Source organism: Homo sapiens, chromosome 20 (assembly GCF_000001405.40).
Source record: "Homo sapiens chromosome 20, GRCh38.p14 Primary Assembly".
NCBI lineage: Eukaryota > Metazoa > Chordata > Mammalia > Primates > Hominidae > Homo > Homo sapiens.
In genome coordinates, this window is record NC_000020.11 from 37,076,159 (window position 1) to 37,104,079 (window position 27,921).

The 27,921-nt window shown below is 43.1% G+C and overlaps 2 protein-coding genes across 8 annotated transcripts in view, besides 5 other annotated features; both read right to left on the reverse strand.

Annotated features, from left to right (window-relative positions):
- The window catches only part of RBL1 (RB transcriptional corepressor like 1), a 99,649-nt gene extending 79,810 nt beyond the window's left edge, over positions 1-19,839 (reverse strand). For 6 of the 7 annotated variants that reach the window (NM_001323281.2, XM_047440348.1, NM_002895.5 and 3 more), the window contains exons 1-2: positions 19,615-19,839; positions 12,831-12,964 (exon numbers count right to left, since the gene is read on the reverse strand). Coding sequence is in view for 4 of the 7 variants with exons in the window: in XM_047440348.1 (XP_047296304.1) it covers positions 12,831-12,964; positions 19,615-19,770 (290 nt within the window). In the remaining 3 variants the exon portion in view is untranslated. Of the gene's footprint in view, positions 1-5,729; positions 5,872-12,830; positions 12,965-19,614 lie in introns of those variants that run through there. The other variant, XM_047440349.1, reaches the window with a different exon arrangement.
- Positions 19,198-19,297: an enhancer, noted in NCBI's record as "active region_17827". NCBI's record gives its function as "activates an Ori minimal core promoter by ATAC-STARR-seq in GM12878 lymphoblastoid cells {active_cell/tissue: GM12878}" and the evidence as "EXISTENCE:reporter gene assay evidence [ECO:0000049][PMID:35858748]".
- Positions 19,531-20,207: an enhancer, noted in NCBI's record as "NANOG-H3K27ac-H3K4me1 hESC enhancer chr20:35724092-35724768 (GRCh37/hg19 assembly coordinates)". NCBI's record gives its function as "activates a minimal SCP1, AML or CMV promoter by ChIP-STARR-seq in primed H9 embryonic stem cells {active_cell/tissue: H9 hESC(primed)}" and the evidence as "EXISTENCE:reporter gene assay evidence [ECO:0000049][PMID:30033119]".
- Positions 19,568-19,627: a silencer, noted in NCBI's record as "silent region_12884". NCBI's record gives its function as "represses an Ori minimal core promoter by ATAC-STARR-seq in GM12878 lymphoblastoid cells {active_cell/tissue: GM12878}" and the evidence as "EXISTENCE:reporter gene assay evidence [ECO:0000049][PMID:35858748]".
- Positions 19,858-20,127: an enhancer, noted in NCBI's record as "active region_17828". NCBI's record gives its function as "activates an Ori minimal core promoter by ATAC-STARR-seq in GM12878 lymphoblastoid cells {active_cell/tissue: GM12878}" and the evidence as "EXISTENCE:reporter gene assay evidence [ECO:0000049][PMID:35858748]".
- Positions 20,248-20,297: an enhancer, noted in NCBI's record as "active region_17829". NCBI's record gives its function as "activates an Ori minimal core promoter by ATAC-STARR-seq in GM12878 lymphoblastoid cells {active_cell/tissue: GM12878}" and the evidence as "EXISTENCE:reporter gene assay evidence [ECO:0000049][PMID:35858748]".
- The window catches only part of MROH8 (maestro heat like repeat family member 8), a 78,382-nt gene continuing 75,469 nt past the window's right edge, over positions 25,009-27,921 (reverse strand). The window contains 2 exon segments of the mRNA NM_152503.8: positions 25,009-25,260; positions 26,506-26,677. Of these exon segments, the coding sequence (NP_689716.4) occupies positions 26,529-26,677 (149 nt within the window). The 3' untranslated portion in view covers positions 25,009-25,260; positions 26,506-26,528.

Consider the following 27,921-nt stretch of genomic DNA (forward strand, 5'->3'; position numbering starts at 1 on the left):
CTACAACAGTAGTCCCCCCATTTATCCTCAGGGAATATATTGCAAGACTCAAGAGATGCCTGAAACTGCAAATAGTACAGAACCATATATAGAGTATATATTTTCCTATACGCATATACCTATGATAAAGTTTCATTTACAAATTAGGCACAGTAAGAGTTTAACAATAATAAAATAGAACAATTATAACAATTTACTATAATAAAAGTTATGTGAATGTGGTCTCTCTCTCTTTCTCAAAATATCTTATTGTACTGTACTCACCCTTCTTGTGATCTGTCAATCTCTGATAACTGAGAGGGCCACTAAGTGGCCAACAGGCAGGTAGCATACACAGCATGGATACAGTAAACAAAGAGATGATTCACGTCCCAAGCAGGATGGAGTGGATAGCACAAGATTTCATTATGCTACTCAAAACCATACACAATTTAAAACTTAAAATTGTTTATTTCTCGAATTTTCCATTTAATATTTTCAAACCATGGCTGATGGGCTACTGAAACCATGGAAAGTGAAACCAAGGATAAAGAAGGATTAATGTACCTACAATATTCTGCACCTTGCTTTTTCCTCTAATTTATCTTGGACATGTTTTTACATCAGTAAAACCCCTTCTATCACTTTAACAGCTGGAGTTTATTCCATTGTATACCATTCCTTTTATCTCTTAAACTTTTCACTTTGAAATACCATCAAACCTACACTTGCAAGGAGAGCATAAGAAGTCCTTTATACCCTTTACCAAATATTAACATTTTGCATATTTGCTTTATCATTTTTTTTTTTTTTTTTTGAGGCAGAGTCTTGCTCTGTCGCCCAGGCTGGAGTGCAGTGGCACAATCGCGGCTCACTGCAATCTCCGCCTTCCGGGTTCAAGCAATTTTCCTGTCTCAGCCTCCCGAATAGCTGGGACTACAGGCGCCTGCCACCAAGCTCGGCTAATTTTTTGTAGTTTTAGAGAGACTGGGTTTCACCACATTGGTCAGGCTGGTCTCAAACGCCTGACCTCGATGATCTGCCCCACCTTGGCCTCCCAAAGTGCTGGGATTACAGGTGTGGGCCACCTTGCCCAGCCATCTATATATACATGTATACTGTATATACATATGCATATATGGTAGTAAATTTTATGTGTCAGCTTGGCTGGGCCACGATGCCCAGATATTTTCTCAAATATTCTGGATCTTTTTGTGAAGGTGTTTATTAGATGAAATCAACATTTAGATTGGTGGACTTTTAGTAAAGCAGATTACTCTTCATAATGTAGGTGGAACTCATCCAATCAGCTGAAGGTCTTAATAGAAAAAAGACTGACCTCCCTTGAGTAAGAAGAAATTCTACCACAAGACTGCCTCAAGACTCAAACTGCAGCTCTTCCCTCAAGATGAAGACTCAAAGTGCAGTCTCCAACATGGGGCCTACCCCATCAGACTTTCAACTCTCCAAGCCTCCATCGTGTGAGCCAATTCCTTAAAATAAATTTTTCTCTATATATAGCTTGTTGGCTCTTTTTCTCTGGATAATCCTAGTTATTGCAATATACATATAATTTTTTTCTGAACCATTTGAGAGTCACGTTTAGCTTTCATGCCCTTTACCCAAAAATACTTCAGTTTCTATTTTCTGAAAAAAAAAAAAAAAAATTCTCTTACATAACCAAAGTACAATTATCAAAATCAGAAAATTTTACATTGATAAAATATTAGTCCATATTTCAACTTAAATTTAAAATTTACCAATTGTCCAAATGTTCTTTCGGAGCAATTTTAAACATCCTAATCCAGTAGCATGTATTGCATTTAGGTGTCATTTCCTTTCTGTTTCTTTCAGCCTGGAACCAGTTCCTCAGACTTCTTTGTAACACGAACATTTTAGAAGACAATTGGTCAGTTATTTGTAGTATGTCCCTAATTTGGGTTTGTCTCATGCTTCCCTCATTATTAGATTTAGGCTATGTATTTTTGACAAGAGTATTACCTAAGTGATGTCATATCCTTGTCAGAGGATCATATCCATTAGTCCCATTACTGATAACTTTGTACTTGATTTAGGTGGTATGTGCCATGTTTTCCATTTCAAAGTTTCTATTTTTTCCTTTGTAATTAGTGATTCATAGGAGACACTTTGCAATTACGTGAATATTCTGTTCTTCATCAAACTTTTATTCACTAGTTTTAATATCCATTGATGATCTTTGACTGTATCAATTATTACTATGAGGTTGCAAAATGGTGACTATTTTCTAATTCTACCACTTTTTCTACATTTATTAGCTGGCATTCTAATGTAAGCAGCATTCCTTTCTAATAACGGGAGTCTACCAATGGGAGTCTTTTCAACCTAGCTTCTAAGTTCCTTGACACACCTCCACCATTTTGTTGAGCACTCCTTACTTTCTGGCATAAGAAGCTGTTCCAGATGCATCAGAGAAAACACGTCTGCTAAGCATTGGAATCAGCCATTTCCTTGAGGACATTACGATAAGTGAAATAAGCATGTCACAAAAGAACAAATATTGTAGGATGACACTTCTAAGAGATGCTCAGAGTAATCAAATTCATAGAGGAAGAAAAAGTAGAATGGTGGTTGCTGAGGCTGGGGGTAAGGGTGAAATGGGCAGTTTTCATTTTGGTTTTATTTGAAGTTTAACACTAATATTTTCCTATGTAAGGCTTAATGTATAGTTACAATGATCTGATTAGTCAAGATGGTCTTTTTTTGGGGGGCGGGCAGGGGGAAGGTATATTTAACATTTCACACTGAAGATGTAACTGTCATGGGTTCCTAGCACTTTAGGAGGCCGAGGCAGGCAGACCCTTGGAGCTCAGGAGTTCAAGACCAGCCTTGGTAACATGGCAAACCCCATCTCTATAAAACAAAAACTACAAAAATTAGCCTGGCATGATGGTGTGTACCTGTTAAGTCCCAGCTACTTGGGAGGGTGAGGTGGGAGGACTGAGCCCAGGAGGTAGAGACTGCAGTGAGCTGAGGTGGCACCACTGCACTCCAGCTGATGCCACAGAGTAAGACCCTGTCTCAGCCAAAAAAAAAAAAAAAAAACCCTCAAATGCCATAACAGCAGTGTAGACAAAAAATAACAAATGATTATAATTTTTAGAAAAAGAAACTTTTTTTGTTATCAAGTTTCCCAAGATCTAAACCAGCTGTTTAGCCAATCTTTTATTTGGGTCTTTATATCGGCCATTAACTTAGTGATGTTATCTGATTTATCTGGGATATAGATACTTAGTTTTTGAGAACAGGGGGCAGCCAGTTGAGATTTTTAGATGCTGGGCTTAAAGCATTTTTTTTTTTTTTTTTTTTGAGAAGGGTCTTGCTCTGTCACCTAGGCTGGAGTGCAGTGGCATGATCATAGCTCACTATAGTCTGGAACTCCTGGGCTCAAGTGATCCTCTACCTCAGCCTCCCAAGATAGCTGGGACTACAGGTGCATATCACCACACTTCACTAACATTCTTTGTAAAATTTTTTTGTAGAGACTAAAAAGTAGTCTCTTACTATGTTGCCCAGGCTGGTCCTGAACTCCTGGGCTCCCTCCCAAGCGATCCTCCCACCTCGGCTTCCCAAAGCGTTGAGATTACAGGCATGAGCCACCACGCCCAGCCCACAAAGGTTTCTATATGTAAGCTACTATGGTGACTTTTCTGAAGTTTACGTAAAATTGTCCAGTTTCAGTTTGCCAGGCTTCAGGAAAAAGCAGTTTTAATTTTAGTGATTTCAAGTCAGAAAAGTGGGAGAAAAATTTAGAAACATCAATTTCAAGACTTGCAGACAGGAAAGAATTCAGGACTTAGTCCAAATTCTATGCAAATAATAAATTTAAAAAAATAGTCAAGGCTGGAATTTAATAATAGGTATGCTATAATTTTGATAGAATGTACTTTTTTTTTTCCTCTTCAATTCCCCATTTTTACCAAAGATTAATCTTAGTGGGACCAATTTACTTTCTTTTTAAAAATATTTATTTTATTTATTTATTTGATTTTATTTTTTGAGACAAGAGTCTCGCTCTGTTGCCTAGGCTGGAGTGCAGTGGCAATCTTGGCTCACTGCCACCTCTGTCCACTGGGTTCAAGCAATTTTCCTGCCTTGGCCTCCCAAGTAGCTGGGATTACAGGCAAGCACCACCATGTTCGGCTGTTTTTTGTATTTTTGGTAAAGATGGGGCTTTACTGTGTTGGCCAGGCTGGTCTCTAACTCCTGGCCTCAAGTGATCTGCCCATCTTGGCCTCCCAAAATGCTGCCTGTGCCTGGTCCCGCCGCAATTTACTCTCTCTCTCTTTTTTTTTTTTTTGAGATGGAATCTCACTTTGTGGCCCAGGCTGGAGTGCAGTGGTGCGATCTCGGCTCACTACAACCTCCACCTCCTGGGTTCAGGTGATTCTCGTTTCTAAGCCTCCCAAGTAGCTGGGATTACAGACACCCACCATTGCGCCCAGCAAATTTTTATAATTTTAGTAGAGACAGGGCTTCACCATGTTGGCCAGGCTGGTCTCGAACTCCTGACCTCAATAGATCCACCCGCCTAGGCCTCCCAAAGTGCTGGGATTATAGGTGTGAGCCACCACGCCTGGCTCGCAATCTACTTTCAAAATAAGGTTTAGTAATATATTTGGCCTGATTCTTTGCATAGGGGGCAATAAGAATAGTGAGTGGCCACCTAGGCTCTTTTAAGTTGGTTTTGTTGGAACATTCATAAGGAATTTTGGATTAGACTTTTAAAAGCCTTGAGGCTAAGAAGTCAAGCCAAGGATCCATCATCAGACTGTTCCCATAATACCTGTATGCATTGGGTGAAATCCTCTCTTCCTGAAGTCCCCAAAAATATCTTGAGGTTCCTGGGCTTGTCAGAAAGTGACATCTTTTACTTACTGCAAGGTCAGGGACCTTGTTAGGGAACCTTTGAACAATAATGATTGCTCAAGGAATTGCTTTGATCAAAGGGACAGTCATGTAGTCTGAAACAGTTTCCAGGACCACTTCTCTCTTGTTTAAAATTCAGCTTTGGTCCTTTGTAATATTCCCCCCTCCATGAGACTCAACTTCTTAGGAATGAACCTTCCTAATGGTGTGAGATATTGACTTAAACATGACCCAAATACATGATTGTTCTGCAATGGCGAGTCAATCTTCCCAAATCTTTTTTATCAGCTCTATAAAGTAAACCTTGGCTGGTGCGGTGGCTCACACCTGTAATCCCAGTGCTTTAGTGCTTTGGGAGGCAAAGGCAGGAGGATCTCCTCAAGCCAGAAGTTCAAGACCAACCTGGGCAACAAAGCCAGACCCAGTCTCTAAGAAAAGACAAAAAACAAAACAAAACAAAAACTTAGCCAGGCATGGTGGAATGCACCTATAGCCCCAGCTACTTAGGTCACTGAGGCAAGAGGACAGCTTGACCCCCCCAAGTTTGAGGCTGCAGTGAGCTATGATCATGCCATTGCACTCCAGCCTGAGCAACAGAGTAAAAGCCTGTCTCTAAAAAACAAAAACAAAACAAAAACAACCTCAATGTTTTAAAGCAGTCTGGTCATATCTGAAAATTTGCCATTCCAATCAAAGCCTAGGTAAAATAACCAGTGTCTATGATTGTGTCCTTAGAAGCAGAACTTTAATTCCAGCTCCATCAAGTGTGGAATTGGTTGCTTGAACAAAGTATGAATCTCAAACCAAAATTAGGAAGATTTGAAATCTGAGAGGAGACTCACCAGAGACCCCTGCTGGCTCAGCGAGATTGGGTGAATGGTACCAAGGCTCCAATTATAATATCAGTAAATGGAGGCTCGCTTCAGGTCACTTCATGGTTGCCAAAATGTCAACTGGCCAGGAGACATAGGGCAGCAGCAGCCCCTAGAAGACAGCACAGAGCATGTGTCTCTATGCCGGGGGAGCCTGCAAGGCTGGGCCAGGATCATAAGGTTTCTCCCTCACTAAGGGACAACGCAGGGGCCTAGGGACAAGAATACAACCAGAAACCCCAGGGACCTGCGTACCTCCTTCTTTTTCTCCTCCTCAGGTTGGGGCCAGCCATCCCCCCTGCTGGTGATGATACAGTCAGCCCTGCACCTCAGTGGAGCAGAGCACAGCATAGTTCACTGAGGCAGAGCTGGGCTGGACTAACAGCTAAACAGCTGAGTTACCATTTAATGTGTATAGTTTGGGAAGATAAGAAAGTTCGGGAAATGGTGGTGGTGTTGGTTGAACAATGTGAAGGTGAAGGTATGCTGAACTTAAAAATTGTCAACTTTATGAATTTTATGTTATATATATTTTACTCCACCACCAACACCATACACATACAAACACACACACACACACACTCTCTCTCTCTCTAGAGTTTACCCTCCATATCTGTGAGTTCCACATCCATGGATTCAACCAACCACACATCAAAAATAATTGGAAAAAAAGGATGGTTGTGTCCGTATTGAACATGTACCAACTTCATTTCTTGTGATTATTCCCTAAAGTATACAGTGTAACAACTACTGACATAGTATTTACATTGTATTAGGTATAAATAATCTAGAGATGGGACCAGGTGTGGTGGCTCACCCCTGTAATCCCTGCACTTTGGGAGGCGAAGATGGGTGGATCACTTGAGCTCAGGACTTCAAGACCAGCTTGGGGAACATGGTGAAACCCCATCTCTAAAAAAAAAGAGCTACAAAAATTATCTGGGCATAGTGGCACACACCCGTAGTCCCAGCTACTTGGGAGGATGAGGTGGGAGGATTGCTTGAATCTGGGAGGCAGAGGTTGCAGTGAGCTGAGATCATGTTACTGTACTCTAGCCTGGGCAACAGAGTAAGACCCTGACTCAAATAATAATAAAAGTTAAAAAAATTATATTTAAGTTGAAATTTTGAAAACAGCCCAAATTATTATAAGTCAAAGCAAACAAAATCATTTGAAATTTTTGTTTATTTCTCTGAATGAACACATTGATGCTGGGTAACTGCTCTTTTAGCATTAAAAATTTGACACTTAAAAACGTTTTGCGGAAGGCTGGGCGCGGTGGCTCATGCCTGTAATCTTAGCACTTTGGGAGGCTGAGGCGGGTGGATCACTTGAGGCCAAGAGTTTGAGACCAGCCTGGCCAACATGGTGAAATCCTGTCTCAACTAAAAATACAAAAATTACCTGAGCGTGATGAAATGCACCTGTAGTCCCAGCTACTCAGGAGGGCGTGGTGGGAGGATCACTTGAGCCCAGAAGGCGGAGGTTGCAAGTGAGCAGAGATCGCGACAATGCACTCCAGCCTGGGTGACAAGGTGAGACCCTGTCTCAAAAAACACAAACAAAAAATAAAAAAGATAAAAACAGGCTGGGCGCGGTGGCTCACACCTGTAATCCTAGCACTTTGGGAGGCCGAGGTGGATGGATCACAAGGTTAGGAGTTCAAGATCAGCCTGGCCAAAATAGCGAAACCCCGTCTCTACTAAAAATACAAAAAAAAAAAAAAAAAAAAAAAATACAGGTGGGTGTGGTGGCATGCACCTGTAGCCCCAGCTACTGGGGAGGCTGAGGCAGGAGAATCACTTGAACCCAGGAGGAGGAGGCTGCAGTGAGCAGAGACCGTGCATTGCACTCCAGCCTGGGCAACAGAGCAAGATTCTAGCTCAAAAAAAAATAAACATTTTGGGGGAAAGGGACTTTGAGAATATCAATCTACATTTTAAAAAGACTTAGTTTTCTTTTTTTTCATAAGTTTGTAATTATTTTTAATGGATTTTTTTTTTTTTTTGAGAGTGGGTCTTGCTTTACCAGCCTGGCTGGAGTAGAGTTGCATCATCATAACTCACTGCAGCCTCCACCTCCTGGGTTCAAGTGATTCTCCCACCTCAGCCTCCCGAGTAGCTGGGATTACAGGCATGCACCACCATGCCTGGCTAATCTTTGTAGAAACAGGGTATCACCCTGTTGCCCAGGCTGGTCTTGAACTCTTGGGTTCAAGAGATCTGCCCGCCTTGGCCTCCCAAAGTGCTGGGATTACAGGTGTGTGCCACTGGGCCTGACCAAAAAAGATACATCTTTTGACCCATTTTTAGGAATCATACATATTTTTGGAATTTATCAGAAATATCATCTTTACAATGATGTTTATTTGTCCGCAACTACAAAGGACTGGATACAATCGAAATGGCCATAAGGCATGGCTAAATAGATGAAAGATCCTTATACCCTAAAATATCCTAGTATCATTAAAAAAATTAATGAGGTAGAACTACATATGCTGATATGGAAGAATTTCCAAAATATAAAGAAAAATAACTGTAGAGCAACACATATAGTATAATTTATGTTTTAAAAAGAAAAAACACCAGCCTGGGCAACATGGTGAGACCCGTCTCTACAAAAAATATAAAATTTGCCAAGCATGGTGGTGTATACCTGTGGTCCCAGCTACTCGGGAGGCTGAAGTGAGGGATCGCTTGAGCCTGTGATGTCTAGGCTGTAGTGAGCTGTGATCACACCACTACACTCCATCCTGAGTGACAGAGCAAGACTCTGTCTCAAACAAATAAAGAGAAAAGAAAATAAAAAGAAAAAATACCAAAAAACAAGTTTATATATTTGTACATAGGAAGACCTTTTTTTTTGAGACAGAGTTTTGCTCTTGTTGCCCAAGCTAGAGTGCAATAGCACAATCTCGGCTCACTGCAACCTCCACCTCCTGGGTTCAAGAAATTCTCTTGCCTTAGCCTCCCGAGTAGCTGGGATTACAGGTGTGCCCCACCATGCCCGACTAATTTTTTGTATTTTTATAGAAATGAGGTTTCACCATGTTAGCCAGGCTGATCTTGAACTCCTGACCCCAGGTGATCCGCCCGTCTAAGCCTTCCAAAGTGCTGGGGAGTCCAGGCATGAGCTACTGCGCCTGGCCAGAAGAAATTATTAATAATGGTTAATTACGGAGAGTGCCAAAAGGAGACGTTTTTCTTTTCTTTTCTTTTTTTTTTTTTTTTGAGATGGAGTTTCACTCTTGTCACCCACACTGGAATACAATGGCACGATCTCTGCTAGCTGCAACCTTCGCCTCCCTGGGTTCAAGCAATTTTCCTGCCTCAGCCTCCCCAGTAGCTAGGATTACAGGCACCCGCAACCACGCCCAGCTAATTTTTTTGTATTTTTTAGTAAAGACGGTGTTTCATCATGTTGGCCAGGCTGGTCTTGAACTCCTGACCTCAGGTGATCCACCCGCCTCAGCCTCCCAAAGTGCTGGGATTACAGGTGTGAGCCACTGTGCGTGGCCAAGGATACTGCTTTCTACTTATAAGCCTTCTGTATTATTTAAAATTTTTGAAAATACATTTGTGTGTACGTGTGTGTGCGTGGTAAAACATACATAACCTTTACCGTTGTAACCACTGTTAAGTCTATAGTTCAGTAGCATTAAGTACATTCACACTGTGCAACCATCACCACTGTCCATCTCCAGAGTTTGTTTCATTATTTGAAATTTGATTTTTTTTTTTTTTTTTTTTTTTTGAGACGGAGTCTCACTGTGTCACCTAGGCTGGAGTGCAATGGCGCAATCTCGGCTCGCTATAAGCGCCGCCTCCTGGGTTCACGCCATACTCCCACCTCAGCCTCTCGAGTAGCTGGGACTACAGGCGCCCACCTGGCTAATTTTGTTTTTGTATTTTTAGTAGAGATGAGGTTTCACTGTGTTAGCCAGGATGGTCTCGATCTCCTGACCTTGTGATCCACCCGGCTTGGTCTCCCAAAGTGCTGGGACTACAGGCGTGAGCCACCGCGCCCAGCCTTGTTTTTTTAATTTGAAATGGAGTCTTGCTCTGTCGCCCAGGCTGGAGTGCAGTGGCGCTATCTCAGCTCACTGCAACCTCCACCTCCAAGGTTCAAGTGATTCTCCTGCCATGTACTGCTCTACATTTGTTTTGTTATAATTCTTTTTTGTTTAGTTCCCCCAGAATCTGTCATTACAAAGATTTTTGAAATTATATGAACAATGACAAACATTGACAGAAAAAGATCAGATTGTTTTATACTAACAATGATAATGTCTTGCTCAATTAAAAAATTAACCCCATTGATCTTCATTTAATTTTTATCATCTTATTTTATTTTTAGAACCAAAGTTGTTTAAAAACATTTTTTTTAGGCTGGACACGGTGGCTTACGTCTATAGTCCCAGCACTTAGGGAGGCCGAGGCGGGTGGATCACCTGAGGTCAGGAGTTTGAAACCATCCTGGCCAACATGGTGAAACCCTCTCCCTATTAAAAATATAAAAAATTAGCCAGGCGTGGTGGCGGGCGCCTGTAATCCCAGCTACTGGGGAGGCTGAGATCAGGCCATTGCACTCCAGCCGGGGCAACAAGAGCAAAACTCCGTCTCAAAAAATAAAAATAAAAAAAAATTTAAATTTAGCATCAACTAAAACCTATTTGCCATTTCTGAATAGGGCTTTAAACTTTGCTCCTCTTCTATTCTGGAAACACAGGAATAGCAAATAGACAATGACCACAAATAGTTTTGTCCCAGAAACAAAGAATATTAGCATGAATCCAAACTGGATAGCTAAATTTGTTTTGTTTCCTATCCAGCCAAATAATTCTATATGCTTGATACTAGAGTAAGTAAAAGATGTATCTGAGACCCATAGAGTAGCTGCAAGGTGAAAAAAATTAATATACAGTAGAGAAATAGGACAACATCTTGACCAGATGACAAAAATTAACATCACCAATGAGATGCAGATGGATAACACATGCCATCATCAGATGTGATATCCTCAGGAGACAAAATCACTTATACAGTTTTCCATCAGGGAATGACTAACCTGCATCTAATCAAAAGTTAATAGGAGACAAATCCAAAATTGGGAACCATCTATTAAAAGAGGGGATGAGGGTGGGCACAGTGGCTCACGCCTGTAATCCCAGCACTTTGGGAGGCTGAGGCAGGCGGATCACAAGGTCAGGAGTTTGAGACCAGCCTGGCTAATATGGTGAATCCACATCTCTACGAAAAATACAAAAATTAGCTGGGCGTGGTGGCACATGCCTGTAGTCCCAGCTACTCAGGAGGCTGAGGCAGGAGAATCGCTTGAACCCGGGAGGCGGAGGTTGCAACGAGTCCAGATTGCACCACTGCACTCCACCTGGGCAACAGAGTGAGACTCTGTCCCAAAAAAAAAAAAGGCTGAGGCAAGAGGACCACTTAAGGTCAGGACTTTGAGACAAGCTTGAGCAACATAGTAAGACCCTGTCTCTATAAAAAGATTTAAAAATATCAGTCAGGCATGGTGGCACATGATTGTAGTCTCAGCTACTTGGGAGGCTGAAGCAGGAGGATCATTTGAGCTGAGGAGTTTGAGGCTGCAGTGAGCTAAAAAGGTGCCACTGCACTCGAGGCCTGGGCAATACAGCAAGACTCGGCCTCTAAAAAAATTTTTTTTAATTAAAGAAAGGGACAAAGTGATTGTGGATTATATTCTTCAAAAATGGTAATGTCATAAAAGAAAAAGAAAGGCTGTGGAAATGTTCCTAATTACAGAAGAATAAATAGACATGATAAGCAAATGCAATACCTGATCCTTAATTAGAAATTGTACTTCCAGGAAAAAAAATGCCATAAAGAACATTATTGAATCAACTAACAAAACTAGAACAGAGTTAGCAGGTTAAATAAAATTATTTTATCAGTGTTAATTTTGCTGAAGTTGGTAGCTGTACTGTAGTTATTTAAAGAAATACACAGTGAAGTATTTTGGGGTAAAAGGCTACAAATGTATGCTACTTAGACTGAAATGGTTGAGGATAAAAAGAGAAAGATCTGGCTGGGAGTGCTGGCTCACGCCTGTAATCCCAGCATTTAGGGAGGCTGAGGCGGGTGGATCACCTGAGGTCGGGAGTTCGAGACCAGCCTGACCAAACATGGAGTAACTCCGTCTCTACTAAAAATACAAAATTAGCCAGGCGTGGTGGCACATGCCTGTAATCCCAGCTACTCGGGAGGCTGAGGCAGGAGAATCGCTTGAACCCAGGAGGCAGAGGTTGTGGTGAGCTGAGATTGCACCACTGCACTCTAGCCTGGGCAACAAGAGCAAAACTCCATCTCAAAAAAAAAAAAAAAAGAGAGAGAGAGAAAGATCTATATATTGAAGAAAGAAAAATCAAATGAGAAAGCAAATGGGATAAAATGTCAATAACAGGTGACTCTGAGTCAAGGGTATATGGGTATTGTCCTTTTCTTATTTTTGTAACTTCTCTGTAAGCCTAAAATTATTTCCAAATTTTAAAAAATTAATTTTAAAAAGTATAGCTAAAGATTCAACACAGAGGTTTCTAGCAGAATTTGAGAAAGGCAGAGAAAGAATATGAAAATTGGGAAAGGATTATCTATGTTATAACTTAGAATTAAATGAAGTCACACAGTGGCTCACGTCTATAATCCCATAGCACTTTGGGAGGTTGAGGTGGGTAGATCATTTGAGGTCAGGAGTTCGAGAACAGCCTGACCAACATGATGAAACCCCATCTCTACTAAAAAAAAAAAATACAAAAAATTAGCCGGGCTTGGTGGTGTGTGTCTGTAATCCCAGATACTCAGGAGGCTGAGGCATGAGAATCACTTGAACCCAGGAGGCAGAGATTGCAGTAAGCCAAGACTGTGCCACTGCACTCCAGCCTGGCTGGCACAGTGAGACTGCGTCTCAAAAATAAATAAATAAATAAATAAATAAAATAAAAATTAAATGAAGTCAAATGATCTCAAAACAAGAGAAAACTGATTCCAAAATTTAGAGCTTATATAACATTTAAAAACATCAAAGAGGTTTACCTTAATTTAGCTGAACGTAGTATTCTGGTAAGTGAAACACAGTTGCCTTCCATGATACCCTTTCCAACCGTGGGAATAATGCTTTTGCGGCATGCAACATATAATGAACATGCCAACCAGTGTGTAACTTCTCCCTGGCAAGCAAAAGACAAACAGCAAAACAGGTATAATATTATGTTAAAATGCTTTAATTCTAGAAACAAGAGATGTAGAATTATCTGGTCTCAATTTTCCTTATGTAGATAAAGGGCCAGAGAAGTGAAGATATTTGCCCAAGGTCACAAAGCTGTTAGTTGCAGTAATGGGTATAAAACTCCTTACTCTTAGTTCTGTGTTTTTACAACTATAACATGCTAAATTAATATTAATCTAAAGATAAAAGCCTGGCTTGGTGGCTCATGTTTGTAATCCCAGTAACTCGGGAGGCTGAGGTGCGAGTATCACTTGATGCCAGGAGTTTAAGACTAGCCAGGGCAACGTAGACTCTAAAAATGAAAATAAAAAAATTAGCCAGGCATGGTGGTGCTTGCCTGCAGTCCCAGCTACTTGGGTGGCTGAGGCAAGAGTATCGCTTAAGCTCAGGAGTTCAAGACTGCAGTGAGCTATGTTTGTGCCACTACATTCCAACATAGGCAGCTGAGCGAGATCCTGTCTCTTAAATCCTGTCTCTTAAAAAAAAAAAAAAGAAAAAAACTCTTTCACCTACACTCCAAATCTAATACAGGCATATGCCACATAACATCTTGGTCAACACTGGACCACATATACAATGGTGGTCACTTAAGATTATAATACTTGCCAGGCGCGGTGGCTCATGCCTGGGAGGCTGGAGCGGGTGAATCACTTGAGGCCAGGGGTTCAAGACCAGCCTGGCCAACATGGCAAAACTCCGTCTCTACTAAAAATGCAAAAAATTAGCTGGGTGTGGTGGCATGCACCTGTAGTCCCACCTACTTGGGAGGCTGAGGCAGGAGAATAGCTTAAACTCGGGAGGCAGAGGTTGCAGTGAGTAGAGATCGTGCCACTACAGTCTAGCCTGGGCAACACAGGGACACTCTGTCACACACACAAAAAAGATTGTAATACTGTATGTTCTAACTGTTCTATATATTTAAAAAATTATAATTTACTGTACCCCTTTTATGTTTAGATACACACATACTCACCATTATAGTTGCCTATAGTGTTCAGTACAGAAACATGCTGAACAAGTTTGCAGCCCAGGAGCAACAGGCTATATTAAACAGCCTAGGTGTATAGTAGACTACACTATCTAGGTTTGCATAAGTATACTCTGTGAAGTTCACACAACAAAATCACCTAATGTTGCATTTCTTAGACCATGTCCCTGTCATTAAGTGAAGCATGTCTGAATTACCAGAAGAGTTTTATTAAAATTTGTCAGCATGACTTTCTTGATTTTAAGAAATGGCCTTGATGATCCTGAAGTTTCTATCGTTTTTGCTTTATGTTTCTCTTTAGTGTGGCAGGGAAAGGCAAGAACAGAGTAAAAAGTTGGCAAGGGAGTCACACATAAAAAATTAATATTAATCTTACGCAACATGAAGGAGACTGTCATTTTTGTAAGGTAAACATTTGGGGATTTACCCCAAAACATGTCATCTTTAAAATACAGTCATATGCATTGCTTAATGACAGGGATATATTCTGAGAAATGCAACATTAGGCAATTTTGTTGTGCAAACATAGCATAGCCTACTAAACCTAGGCTATATGGTATGCTTATTGTTTCTAGGCTACAAACCTGTGGAGCATGTTACTATACTAAATACTGTTGGTAAATGTAACACAATAGTAATTATTTGTGTATCTAAACACAGAAAACATATAGTAAAAATAAAGTATGTGTGGTCCATCACTGACTGAAACATTCTGCAGCACACGACTGTAGTAAGCACGGCTCTTTATATTAGTAGATATCTCAATTTACAATGCCACAAAAAGGTGACATTTGGGAATTCAACAATTTTCTGCATTAGACTTCAGACATCTCCAAGCTAGAATCACTTCATGACTTCACTGCTGAAATACAATAGCTGAAGTTTAAGGATTAAGAATTACGGATAGGCCGGTGCGGTGGCTCACGTCTGTAATCCTAGCACTTTGGGAGGCCGAGATGGGTGGATCACCTGAGGTCAGGAGTTTGAGAGCAGCCTGGCCAATGTGGCGAAACCCCGTCTCTACTAAAAAATACAAAAATTAGCCAGGTGTGGTGGCGCACGCCTGTAATCCCAGCTACTTGGGAGGCTGAGGAAGGAGAATCACTTGAACCTAGGAGGTGGGGGTTGCAGTGAGCCGAGATCACGCCACTGCACTCCAGCCTGCGCAACGGGAGTGAGACTCCATCTCAAAAAAAAAAACAAGAATTACAGATAAAGGCCAGGCACAGTGGCTCATGCTCGTAACCCCAGCACTTTGGGAGGCTGAGGCAGAGGATTGCTTGAGCTCAGGAGTTCAAGATCAGCCTAGGAAACATAGTGAGACCCCCGTCTGTACAAAAAAGGAAAAAATTAGCCGGGTATGTGGCACGTCTGTAGTTAGAGCTACCTGGGGAACTGAGATGGGAGGATCATTTGAGTCCAGAAGGTTAAGGCTGCAGTGAGCTGTGACTGACCCACTGGACTCCAGCAAGGGTGAAAGAACGAGACTCTATCTCAAAAAAAAAAAAAAAAAGAATTACAGATGTAAATCTGATAGCACAACACAATAGTGTTCTTATACACTGTTCCACAGACTGTCTTTAAGACCAAACCCTAGAAGGATAAAAAGATTGATAAAAAGATTTCTTGCAATAATCTAAAAGGGGTGGGTAGAAATGGGTGGCCATCAATAAACCCAATGTTCCTACCCTGAAGGAATGAGAAGTCTTTTCTCAAAGCACTAAATGAGGCAGGTAAGCTTAAAGATGAATATTTTTACAAGCTTTGATTAATGAATTGCTTGGGAATAGGGTCTGGTCATGGTGGCTTACGCATGTAATTCCAGCACTTTGGGAAGCTGATGTGGGTGGACTGCTTGAGTTCAGGGGTTCGAGACTAGCTTGGGTAACACAGCAAAACCCTATCTCTACAAAATACAAAAAAATTAGCAGGACGTGGTGGTATGCGCCTGTAGTCCCAGCTACTCTGGAGGCTGAGATGGGAGAAGTGCCTGAGGCCCTTTTTTTGTCTCAAAAAAGAAAAAGAGAAAGAGTTGTTTGGGATTAGCATCCAAGTATTATAGAGCCTTTGGATACAGGCTACTAAATGAAAATTCTAGCAAGATGGTGAAAATATAAGTCCTAAAATTATTGTTTCGATTTTTTTAAAGACATTAAAGAATACACTGATTTTTATTTTACTTTTTAAAACAGGGTCTCACTCTGTTGCCCCAGGCTGGAGTGCAGTGGTACAATCAGGGCCACTGCAGTCTTGACTTCCCAGGAATGAGGGCCACTGCAGCCTCGACCTCCCAGGCTCAAGCAATCCCCCCACCTTAGCCTCTGGAGTAGCTGGGACTAAAGGCACATGCCACCACACCCAGCTAATTTTTGTAGAGATGGGGTTTCACCATATTGCCCAAGCTGGTCTCAAACTCCTGGGCTCAAGTGATCCACCTGCCTCAGCCTCCCAAAATGTCGGGATAACAGGTGTGAGCCACCATGCCCAGCCTATTTTATTTTGTGTAGAGATAGGGTCTCACTATGTTGCCCAGGCTGGTCTTGAACTTCTGGGCTCAAGTGATCCTCCTGCCTCAGCCTCCCAAAGTGCTGGGATTATAGGTGTGAGCCACTGTGCCTGGCCTGACTTTCTTTCCTTAAAAAAGTCAACTATTTTATTCCATGAGAATAAAATAGAATACAATTCTATTTGATAAAATCCTATTTCATAAAAATTCTATGAATTCTATGATATCAGAAACCATTTTTTGCATTTCTAAGGCCTACTTGCCAGGCCTTAGAAATACAAAAAATGTTTTCTGATCTCACAGAACTTCACATCTGGAGCTAAGAAGAGGAACAGATACTATCATTTATAATTGGTGAGATATACAAGCTATAAGAAGAACTGAAGATAAAGTGTTGTAGGAGAATATAGTGCAGTGAATAACTGATTTTGACTACAGTTTAGGGAAGGCCTCACAAAAGGAGACAAAATTTGTAAATCAATAAAAATGTAAGCAGGAGTTTGTCAGGTAGACTAGAGAGGGGTAGGGATTGGAGAAAGACTTCTTAGGAAGCATGAGATATATGAAAATGACTACTCCAAATACCTTTAAAAAATTGATTTTAAAAAAAGAGGAAAATAAACACTGGATAGAATAAACACAAAATTTCAGTTCATACATTTGTGCTTTCTAAAGCAAGCATTGGGCTGGGCTCGGTGGCTCATGCTTGTAATCCCAATGCTCTGGGAGGCTGCGGCAGAAAAATCACTTGAGGCCAGTTCAAGACCAGCTTGGGCAACATAGTCAGATACTATCTCCACAAAAAATTGAAAAATTAGCTGAGCACCGTGGTGCATGCCTATAGTCCCAGCTACTGGGGAGGCTGAAGCAGGAACATCACTTGAGCACAGAAGTTTGAGTTTACAGTGAGCTATAATTGCACCACTGCATTCCAGGCCTGGTCAAAAGAGCAAGACCCTGTTTCTTTCCATTTTTTTTTTTTTTTTGAGATGGAGTTACACTCTTGTGCAGGGTGGAGTGCAATGGCGTGATCTTGGCTCACTGCAACCTCTACCTCCTGGTTTCAAGAGATTCTCCTGCCTCAGCCTCCTGAGTAGCTGGGATTACAAGTGCACGTCACCATGCTCAGCTAATTTTATATTTTTAGTAGAGACGGGGTTTCACCATGCTGGCCAGGCTGGTCTTGGACCCCTGACCTAAGGTGATCTGCCCACCTCAGCCTCCCAAAGTGGTGGGATTACAGGTGTGAGCCACCGTGCGCCCGGCCAAGACCCTGTTTCTAAGGAAGAAAAAAAGAAAGAAAAAATAAATAAGTAGAGCAAACATTGAAGATGTCCTATTCAACTCTGCCTAACTAGAGATTTAGCTCTCAACTTTTCCTGGTGTTGGGGGTGAGGGGAAATATTCCAGGCAGAGGGAATGGCATGGATATACCACAAAACTGGGAACAAACTTGTCATATTCAAGAATCTGAAACAGGTGCATGCCTTGACCATAGTTTGACACAGTAAATGCTTATTCAATGACAGATGGTGTGACCTTGGGCAAGAGAGACCAAATCAGACCTAGGATGTCAGAAATGCTTTCTCAGGCTTTCAAAAATCAATCTGTTTTCAATTGAGACGCCATTCATTCTAATCTCCCTTACTTTCTTATTCTTCCCACAGCTCTCCAGTCATGCCACCCACGGATGTGGACCATTGTCCTTTACCCAGTCTATCCAGTTCTGAAGACACTTTTTTCAGGTACTACTCCTTCATATATAGGCACACATACAATCGACACTTTTCCAACTCTATGCCTTTGAACCCAGCAATTATTTCACTGGGTGGTGAGTCAGTGGTGCACCCTGGGAGTGGGTCCAGCGCCCTTGGCACATGAAAGCCTTTGAACATGAGGCCAGTGGTGCTACATGAAATACACTCCATCACAATTCTGTCTACACTGGGCTTATGCTCGTCTGGGTTTCTTTCTCTGTTTTTAGATAGAGTCTTGCTGTCACCCAGGCTGGAGTGCAGTGGTGTGATCTCCACTCACTGCGGCCTATGCCTCCTGGGTTTAAGCAATTCTCCTGCCTCAGCCTCCCGAGTAGCTAGATTACAGGCAGGCGCCACCACACCCAGCTAGTTTTTGTATTTTTTTAGTAGAGATGGGGTTTCGCCGTGTTGCCCAGGTTAGTCTCGAACTCCTGGCCTCAAGTGATCCGCCCGCCTTGGCCTCCCAAAGTGCTGGGATTATAGGCGTGAGCCGCCACGCCCAGCCTGGGTTTCTATATTAGAATAATCCTAGGCAAGACAACCTTCTGAGCCTTGCCATTATCACCTGGAAAGCAGTCTAATACTCATTGCCATGCCATGTTCACAGGGCTGTTGCGAGGATAAAATGCAAGAATGATGGGGAAAAAAATCAAGTAATTATAACTGACATTTGTTTTATTCAGAGCCAGACACTGATGCAAAGCATCAGGACGATGCTCTGACGGAGGAGGAAACGTAGGGCTGAGATCAGCTTCGTGTGCACATTGGCTTTGATCAAACTGCTGCACAGCGACCGGCAGCTCCACCCTGGTGAAGCAGAGGGTGGAGGTTAAACGGCTCAGACCCTGGGTCTGGCTCCATCTCTAACCGTGTGACCTTGGGCCTGTAGCTTAACCCGTCTAGGGCTCCGCTTCCTCTTGCGTGAAATGGGGATCACAGAAGGGGTTCAGACGGAACTGAGGGTCCATTTAAAGCTCTGGGCAGTGATGTCTTGGCATGCAGTTCATTTTCACTTTACCATTATATTTGTTCTTACTGATTTAAGGGCAGCACCATGACTTTTGTGGCGCTTGGCGGGGTAGAGGGAAGTGTGGTCAGGAAGCCTGGGGTCTGAGCGGCGCGGGACCTAGGCCGCTCCTTTCCTGAGCTTCAGTTTCCCGCCTCAAAATGATGGGTGGATTGGCTGAGCTACACCCACCTTTCCCGCCCCTCGGCGCTTGGCTGCGCAGCGACCCTCCTAGGTGGGGAAACTCCCACCACCCCATAGGCCGAGGAAGGGGCGGGGCAGGGGTGGGGCCTGGCGAGGGTAGGGTCCGGCCGCCCCACCTGCTGCCGCTCACCTCTAGGCTGTAGTTGCCTCGGATGGCAGTAAAGTCGTCCAGGGCTTCGGCCGCGCTCCCCTCGTCCAGGTTCAGCTCCTGGCACAGGGCCTGTAGCGCCTCCCCGGCTGCGGCGACCACCGCCGCCCCCTCAGCGTGGGGCTTGTCCTCGAACATCCCTTCAGGCCCCGCGGGCTGCGCGCCACGGCCCCCGACTTCTTTCTCCCTCCCAGGCGCGCTACCCACAACCACCTGCGCCAAAGCGCGCGAAAATCTGCAGCTGCGGGACGTGTTGTCATCCACCGTCTGCCTCCGCTTTTCTCCTCAAAAAAAGTCCGTTTTTCCTCCGGAGCTCCTAGCAGTCCCTCCCCGGAAATGTGATAAGAAGATGTACCTCAGATTCTGAAAGACCTGTCCTTGGCCCTTGGCTGGTCGCGGGGGGCCCAGCCGGCGGGACAGAAAAAGAGCGGAGGGATCCTCAGCCCGCGCGCAGAGCCTGCTGGGAGGTGTAGTCCATCTCTTGGGAGATGAAGCCCGCGGCCTCCCCCTGTCTTCCTGGTTAGGCTCTTGGGTTTTGGGGCAGGGCTGGGCTGCCTACTGCGAGGTGGCCTCGTGCAGCGTAGTGAGATGCCTCCTCTATCCACGGGCCCTGGGTTTGTCACTGTCCCTGGGCGCCAAACATAATCTGAGCTGTACCCCTTGAGTTAGGAGATGGAGGCTGGAAGAGAAAAAAGTAGCCCCTGGACGAAGAGGGGCCTCTTGGGACTCTCCCCAAAGTCCTAGTGCCCAGTGAGTGGTTCGCTAAATGACAGAGGGGAAGGATTGGTGACGGATATTAGAAGACGAATCCTCATCTCATGCTAGTCGCTAAAAGAGGCAGGCAGAGAAGACTGCAGTAAATGAGGCAGGAGAATAGGGTCTGGAGGCAGGGAACCTATGGCTGTTTCACGTGACTTCTTAGAACTAAATTGAAAGGAAAACCCCAACTTTCCACGCCTAAGTAACAAAAGAACCAGAGGCTGTTCCCTTGGACCTTTTCTGCATGGCAGATGGGAAATTGGCTGTCTGCAACAAATCACACTGAGCGCCTTCCAGTCTTTGTTTGCAACTTTGTAACTTCACTCCAGCCTCTGAACGGTTGCTGTCCACAACCAATCAGACTGATGGCGGGAGAGTCTTCCTTTGCATAGAAGTATAATTTTGTTAACTTCACCCTGGCCTCTGATTGGTTGCTTTCTGCAACCACTCAGACTGATTGTGGGCTACCACTTCAGTTACATCAAGAGAGCATAAAGTGGCCAATGGGAAACTTCTAGAGGGTATTTGGACCCCAGAAGATTCTGTGTCTGGGCCCTTGAGCTGCTGCGTGGGTTCGCTTCCCCACTATGGAGTGTACTTTTGTTTTCAATAAATCCCTGTCTTCGTTCTTTTGTTGTTCCATTATTTGCTTTGCCTGTAATCCCAGTACTTTGGGAGGCCGAGGCAGGTGGATCACTTGAGTCCAGGAGTTTGAGACCAGTCAGGCCAACAAGGCAAAACCCCGTCACTACTAAAAATATAAAAATTAGCTGGGCGTGTGGGTGCACTTGTGTAATCCTAACAACCTGGGCAACTGAGACATGAGAATAAAGAATCGCTTGAACCGAGGAGGCAGAGGCTGTAGTAAGCCAAGATTGCACCACTGCACTCCAGTCTGGGTAACAGAGTGAGACTCTGTCTCAAAAACAAACAACTGAGGACACATCTGTCAAACCCAGCCTCACCTGCATGCATTTAAAAAAACCAAAAATCAATATGCCCTTCCTTATATTGGTTTTATTTTTTCTTATTATCCCAGGACATGCCCATTTAACCCAAAATTGAGCTTTTCTGAATAGAAAATGAAGTATGGAAGGCCGGTTGCAGTGGCTCACACCTGTAATCCCAGCACTTTGGGAGGCTGAGGCAGGCGGGTCACCAGATCAGGAGATCGAGATCATCCTGGCCAACATGGTGAAACCCCGTCTCTACTAAAAATACAAAAATTAGCTGGGCATGGTGGCGGGCGCTTGTAATCCCAGCTACTTGGCAGGCTGAGGTAGAAGAATCGCTGGAACCTGGGAGGCGGAGGTTGCAGTAAGCCAAGATCGTGCCACTGCACTCCAGCCTGGTGACAGAGCGAGACTCCGTCTCAAAAAAAAAAAAAAAAAAAAGAAAAAAGAAAATGAAGTATGGGTAGTGAAATAGATTTACTCTGCCCTTCAGTTTTGAGCCAGATACACATGAAGGTTGTTTCTATTTTGATCCCATTGTGTGATAGCCTCTATGATTAGCCTCCCTGTTGTGGTTTAATATTTCAGAGTTCTCCCAAAGCATGTGGTTGGAACCTGATTATGACCTTTAGGGATTCCAAGACTAAAAAGATTATAGTGTGTACCCTTCCAAATGTAATTCAAAATATATGCAATTCTAAATCACAAAATAAGTGTAAGAAAGTACAAGAAAGTTCTAACTAATTTTCCCAAGATGTCTCATTTTGAAATTCTTAAATTTTTTTTTCTTTTTTTGTCCTCCAGCTTTGCTATGCCCTAAGCAGAAAATCAGTCTGCACTTGCCCCTCTCAGGACAAACTGCTTGTCTAACCTTCTATTAAAAAAAAAAAAAAAAAAAAAAAAAGCAGTTGATATTTGTGGGGGAGGGGCAAGACCTGACCTCACCATTCTTTTTTTTTTTTTTTGAGACAGAGTCTCACTCTGTCACCCAGGCTGGAGTGCAGTGGCAAGATCTCAGCTCACTGCAACCTCTCCCTCCTAGGTTCAAGCAATTCTCCTTCCTCAGCCCCCCAAGTACCTGGGACTACAGGCACACGCCACCATGCCCGGCTAACTTTTTTTTTTGCATTTTTAGTAGAGACGGGGTTTCGCCATGATGGCCAGGCTGGTCTTGAACTCCTGACCTCAGGTGATGCACCCGCCTCAGCCTCCCAAAATGCTGGGATTATAGGCGTGAGCCACCATGCCCAGCTGGACCTCACCATTCTTAATGTTCTTTTTCCTTGGAGGAAAAACTAAAGTGGTGATCTTTAAGCTGGTTCTGCACTGTGGAAGTAGTGCATTACAAAGATTAATAAAGCCTCTCTACCCACAGAAGGGGGAAAGGATTTGCATACAATCTTAGAAAAGCAAATGTAAATGGCTTTTAGATGTGAAAAGATGCCCAACTTTCTTTCTTTCTATTTATTTATTTATTTATTTATTGAGACGGAGTCTCACTCTTGTTGCCCAGGCTAGAGTGCAATGGAGAGATCTCGGCTCACTGCAACCTCTGCCTCCTGGGATCAAGCAATTCTCCTGCCTCAGCCTCCCGAGTAGCTGGGACTATAGGCGTGTGCCACAACGCCAGGGTAATTTTTGTACTTTTTAGTAGAGACGGGGTTTCACCATGTTGGCACAATGGTCTCAATCTCTTGACCTCGTGATCCCACCCGCCTCGGCCTCCCAAAGTGCTGGGATTACAGGCGTGAACCACTGTGCCCGGCCCCAACCTTTCTAATAGGAAAAATATATATACAAGTTTAAACCGGTATAAAACCATATTTTAATCTATTCAATTGTCAAAAATCCAAAAGTTTGAAAATGTTCTAGTGACTCCCCATTTCTTTCAGGGTTAAGCCAAGCTCCTTGTCCTGGCCTACAAGGCACTAAGGGTCTGGTGGTCCCCTGTCTAACTCTGCCTTCATTTGCTACTCTCTCCTTTCTCACCCTACCGTAGTCATACTTGTGATTCCTTTTGGCTACCTTTTTTTCCTTTAATTTTGAAAAATGCAAACTCAATTTTTTATGTAGTTGTTAACCCCAATGTTTAAAAAAAGTAAAGCATTTCATCCAAATTACTAACTAAAAGATAATAGCTAAGAATACCTGAACCAGATATCAAAGAATTGGGGGTAATGGGGGCCGGGCATGGTGGCTCATGCCTGTAATCCCAGCACTTTGGGAGGCTGAGGTGGACAGATCACTTGAGGCCAGGAGTTCGAGGCCAGCCTGGCCAAAATGGCAAAACCCCGTCTCTACTAAAAATACAAAAATTAGCTGGGCGTGATGATGCTCGCCTGTAGTCCCAGCTACTTGGGAGGCTGAGGCAGGAGGAGAATCACTTGAACCGGGGAGGCAGAGGCTGCAGTAAGCCGAGATTGCGCCACTGCACTCTAGCCTGGGCAACAGAGCGAGACTCTGTCTCAAAAAAAAAAAAAAAAATGCAATTAACCATTAGATACTTCCATTCTTCACCTGCCAGTTTTTCCATTTCCTTTCTTCTTTCCCATATCACCTCCAAGATGTCCCTCCATTGCCCTAGATAGCTCAGCTCTGGCTCTCTGTGTATATTCTTCAACCAAACAAGAGCCTGAGAATCAGATTGATGGTGACTATTTCTAATTAGTCCAAATTAGTCCAGTGTGCCTCTTGGGGGCCTCCCACAATTCCACATGCAGCTTATAAAAGTGGTTGCCCAACACAAACTAATCTCTTTTCCCAGAAAATTTCTGCTTGTAAGAAATTTTTCTCCATTTATGCTTAAAGCAGACAGTGGGTACTCAACAAATAATAGTTCCTATCCTAGAGCCATTTGAGGATCTGACATCGGTTATAGGAGAGGGAATTATGAAAATGGAAAAAAGGGAGAAGGAGTGGAAAACTTGGATATATTGGGATAAATTTACCATTACACCAATTCAGAAGTTTTTTTCTTGCTTGGAGGTTTTTTCTTTTTCTTTTTTTTCAGACGGAGTCTCGCACTGTTGCCCGGGCTGGAGTGTAGTGGTGTGATCTCGGCTCACTGCAACCTCCACCTCCTGGGTTCAAGTGATTCTTCTGCCTCAGCCTCCTGAGTAGGTGAGACTACAGGCACATGACACCATGCCCGGGTATTTGCATTTTTAGTAGAGACAGGGTTTCACTATGTTGGTCAGGTTGGTCTCAAACTCCTGACCTCATGATCTGCCTGCCTCAGCCTCTCAAAGTGCTGGGATTATAGGCATGAGCCACCGCACCCGGCCGCTTGGAGGTTTTTAAGGGAAAGGAAAAGGAAGAAGACAGGGCCAAAAAGGATTTCACAAAAATACATCATTAAATATGAAACTATAAGAATGGATTGTTGGCCAGGCATGGTAGCTCACGTCTGTAATCCCAGCACTTGGGAGGCCAAGGTGGGCAGATTACTTAAACTCAGGAGTTTGAGACTATCCTCGGCAACATGGCAAAACTCCATCTTTACCAAAAATACAAAAAATTAGCTGGGCATGGTGGCGCACACCTGTAGTCCCAGCTACTTGGGAGGCTCAGTGGGGAGGATCACTTAAGCCCAGGAGGCCGAGGTTGCAGTGAGCCATCATCGTGCCACTGCACTCCAGCCTGGGTGAATGAGTGAGACACTATCTCAAAAAAAAAAAAAAAGTTACTTTATTCTTAATATTGTTGGCAATTAAGCAGACATACTAACATTGTAACATTAACATTTATTTAGAATCTCTTTTGAAGCTGTCCTTGACCTGTTTCTCAAGACTGGAATTCTGCTGGGTGCCGTGGTGCATGCTTGTAATCCCAGCACTTTGGGAGGCTGACACAGGAGGATGACTTGAGGCCATGAGTTCAAGACTAGCTTGCCGCACAACATAGCAAGATTCTGTCTCTACAAAAATAAAAAAAAAATTAGCTTATTCATCTCTAGCTGTCAGTCCCTGGTGTGAGTCCAGTACAAGGGGGAGGAAGAGGAATTAACAATCACTAAATATGTACTCTGTGCTCAATCTGTGTAATACCTCTTACATACACTCTTTCATTTACTCCTTCCAACAAGCCTTTAGTTAGAAAACGCTATCTCCATTTTTTACATGAACCTGCAGATGAGAAATTAATTTTTTTTTAATGTTTCCAGAAAGTCAGCTATAATGCTGGCATTTGATCCCAGATGTGCACACTCCAAACTTCATAATATTTCCACTGTATTATTTTGCCTATTCCAAATATAGCTCTATTTGCAGAGCGAATAATTGTGCTGATATTTGGTGAGATAGCATGTGCAATAGAAAATCCAGTTTATTATTTAAATGGAGGCAGAAGATGTAGATATAGGCAAATCGTAACATCACCTATGTTAGCTCTTGTTTCTGTTTTGCCTTTCCCATTTGACAAAGAACTGTTTGTAGCAGTTAAGGGCTATTTTATTTTCTGAGATGGAGAGAACAGCATGAAGGGCATACCATTAGTAGGTACGGTTGTGTGTACCTGTAGTTCCAGCTACTTAGTAGGCTGAGGCAGGAAGCCAGGACTTTAAGGTTAGTGAGTTATGATCATGCCACTGCACTCGAACCTGGGTGACAGAGGGAGACCCTAACTCTAAAAGAAATAAAACAAACAAAAAAAAAGATGTGAACTTTTTTTTTTTTTTTTTGAGACAGAGTCTTACTCTGTCGCCCAGGCTGGAATGCAGTGGTGCGACCTTGGCTCATTGCAACCTCTGCCTCCTGGGTTCAAGCGATTCTCCTGCCTCAGCCTCCCAAGTACCTGGGATTACAGGTGCCTGACACCATGCCCGGCTAATTTTTGTATTTCAAGTAGAGACGGGGTTTCATCATGTTGGCCAGGCTGGTCTCGAACTCCTGACCTCAAGTGATCTGCCTGCCTTGGCGCCAAAGTGCTGGGATTATAGGCATGAGGCACCATGCCCGGCCAAAAACTCTATAGATTTTTAAATTATATCTGCAATTTTAAACTAAGAACTGCCCTCCTCTATATCTTAAGGTTTTGAAAGCAAAAGACATGTTGGAGGTAATTAAATGGGTAGAGGTGGCTTCATGCTGGCATTGTTTTAAGTCTGAAAAAAGTGGGGCTGGCATCAGTGGCCTCTGTGGCTTCTGAAAGGATTGGTTTTTACCTGATGTTGCTTGCCTTGTGTTTCTAGGCAGAGGACCTGCCCATGAGCTTCTGCAACCAGTTCACTCTCTGCTTAGGTTTTGGTTCGGCCCTCGCCATCTGGACTAGTAACAGAGTCTGGGAAGCGATGATGCACAGCGAGGGCTCAGGGTCACACAGCAGGTCTCTCAGATCTAGCGGTAGGCAAACACAGGTTGGAGGTAAAAGCCCCTGAGATCTGTGGAAATGAATGAAGGTCTAGATAGCAAAAAGCTTACATGCCCATAGCAGCTTAGATTACGGTCCAACTGTCTAAAAGTTTATATATCAGTGAATTGTTTCCAATTTTGATCTACAAAACCTACCGGTTTCTGAGTTGCCAAACATGTCACTCCTCTGCAATAATCACATTCCAAGTAGTCTTTCTAAAGTCGAATGATCTGGACCTCCCAAGCCATGTCTAATGTTAACATCTAAGTTCCCGTGTTGGTCCTAGAAGTAACTCTTACATCATTATCTTCTTTTAATTAAAAAAAAAAAACTTTTAGTTTTTAATATTTTCTTTCTTTTCTTTTTCTTTTTCTTTCTTTTTTTTTTTTTTTTGAGATGAAGTCTCCTTCTGTCGCCCAGGCTGGAGTGCAGTGATGCGATCTTGACTCACTGCAACCTCCGCGTCCCAGGTTCAAGTGATTGTCCTGCCTCAGCCTTCGGAGTAGCTGGGATTAAAGGTGCCCACCACCACGCACAGCTAATTTTTGTATTTTTAATAGAAATGGAGTGTCACCATGTTGGCCAGGCTGGTCTCCAACTCCTGACCTCAAGTGATCCACCCACCTTGGCCTCCCAAAGTGCTGGGATTACAGGTGTGAGTCACTGTGCCTAGCAGTTTTTATGTTTTCTTATTGCAAAAGAAATACATGTTCATTGTGCAGAACATTTAGACATTACATGTAAGCACAAGAAGAAAAGTCACCCATAATCCTAACATCTAGCGATAACTATTGTTATTTTCAATATATATCTTTCTGGTCTTCTTTCCATACATTTATATTTACATATATATGCTTTTATTTTTTGTCCAAATGGAACCATATGACCGAGGAATTGCAAATGCTGGTTTTATTTAATGATACCACATCATCATTTATCTGAGTCACTTAAAAATTATTCTAGGCCAGGCGCACTAGCTCATGCCTGTAGTTGCAGCACTTTGGGAAGACGAGGGAGGTGGATCATTTGAGCCTAGGAGTTCAAAACCAGCCTGGGCAACATGGCAAAACCCTATGCCTACAAAATATCAAAAAATAAAACATTAGCCAGGCGTGGTGGCTTATGCCTGTAGTCCCAGCTACTTGGGAGACTGAGGTGGGAGGATCCCTTCAGCCTAGGAGGTGGAGGTTGCAATGAACTGAGATCATGCCACTGCATTCCAGCCTGG